Here is a 1544-nt window from a genome sequence, read left to right as displayed (position 1 = left end):
CCCAGATTATTTCTAACAGAGTCAACATTCTTCCCCCTCCTGCCTCTGAATCTTCTCAAAGGTAGACATTCTCCAGGCAGGCTGCTCTCTTAGCTTGGTTTCCTTGGCCTCCCTCCCTGTGTCGGTGCCCAGAATGTAATAACAAATCCCGTCTCCCAGCCAGGAGCTGGGTGCCCAGGAATTCCGGCCCTGCTCGGCCAGCTCTGTTTGCCAGCGCATCTGTTTCTAATCAGTGCAGCAGGACGCATTCTTTCTGCCGAGTGTGCAGGCCCGGAGCCTGGGGACTGTGCTAATTGATTGCTAAATGGATCTTGTCATTTCCAAAAGAGGCCTCTAGGCCTGCCCTTTGCTCTGCCTCTGCTCTCCACGGGCTGAAGAGCTTAAGAATTAACTCATCCACTGCCTTTGTCGGGAGGCGAGGACTGTCCCGAACTTCAGTGCTGGGAATGCACCAGGAGCCTTGGACAAAAAGCCTCTGCTCTTCGTAAAGAGATTCACGGCTGAAAAAGCCCTGCCATGGACATGACCCCATTTCATTCTCCTGGTGGCTTATAGGGGTAGGCCTGACCCCACTGGACAGATGAAGAAATCAAGGCTCAGGGGTGTGAGTTGAGTGGCCCGGGTCACGCAGAGCTGCTAGCAAGGATGAGACTGTCTTGAGCCTGACTCATGCTGGGTCCAGGTTCTGTCCCCAGACCTCAGCCCATTGGCAGTGTCTGGCCGGGGCTTGCTATTGAGGTTGCAGAGAAAGTGGACAGCACAAGGTCTGTTGACGGGGCTGTCTGGGTCGGCAGGACACCCACAGGTGTCTTGGTGTCTGGCTGCCCTGTCCTGATAAGAGCACCAGAATGGGGAAGATATTGCTCATGTTCAGGGGTGTAGCGCTGCACCTCAAGCTTCCTTTCCTAGCAGTGCAGCCCCTCCCATCCCAGCATCCTTGCACCAAGGCCTCTGGGCTTCCCTGGCACTTACAGAAGTATTGAGTCACCATCTGTTTTCTCGTCTGTCTCCCCAGCTTGAAGCCAGGGATTGTTGTCTTTCTGCCTCTAAATCTCTGCCTTGAACAGGGTCTGCTCATAGTAGGTGGTCAACACATAAATGCAGAATGAATGAATGAATGACTCGTCCTGGACTGTCTTCTGTGATTTCCTTCTCCTTGGTCTCTTGGCAGGATTGGTCAGAGAACAAGATTTCAGTTTACTCTCAGCAGAACCCTGTAGCACTCAGATGCCTCAGTTCCTGACAAAATCTCTCAGCTTCAGTTTTCACATATGTCAAATGGGATGATTCCGTGTGTCCACCATGGGCTGGTTGGAGGACCAGTTGAGATAATGGAAATTTGAACATTATGCTCATGTGAATGCTGTGTGTATATGTGTGTGTGTGTGTGTGTGTGTGTGTTGTTGGTTTGGTTGTTTTTTGTTTGTTTGTTTGTTTGTTTGTTTTGAGAGGGAGTCTCCCTCTGTTGCCCAGGCTGGAGTGTAGTGGCATGATATCGGCTCACTGCAGCCTCCACCTCCCAGCCTCAAGTGATCCTCCAGCCT

At 51.8% G+C, this 1544-nt stretch overlaps 1 annotated feature.

The window, feature by feature from the left end:
* Nucleotides 246-746: an enhancer, noted in NCBI's record as "H3K4me1 hESC enhancer chr17:30022898-30023398 (GRCh37/hg19 assembly coordinates)". NCBI's record gives its function as "activates a minimal SCP1, AML or CMV promoter by ChIP-STARR-seq in naive and primed H9 embryonic stem cells {active_cell/tissue: H9 hESC(naive and primed)}" and the evidence as "EXISTENCE:reporter gene assay evidence [ECO:0000049][PMID:30033119]".

The sequence above is a fragment of the Homo sapiens genome, chromosome 17 (genome assembly GCF_000001405.40).
Source record: "Homo sapiens chromosome 17, GRCh38.p14 Primary Assembly".
Taxonomy (NCBI): domain Eukaryota; kingdom Metazoa; phylum Chordata; class Mammalia; order Primates; family Hominidae; genus Homo; species Homo sapiens.
This window is presented reverse-complemented; position numbering and strand designations above follow the sequence as displayed.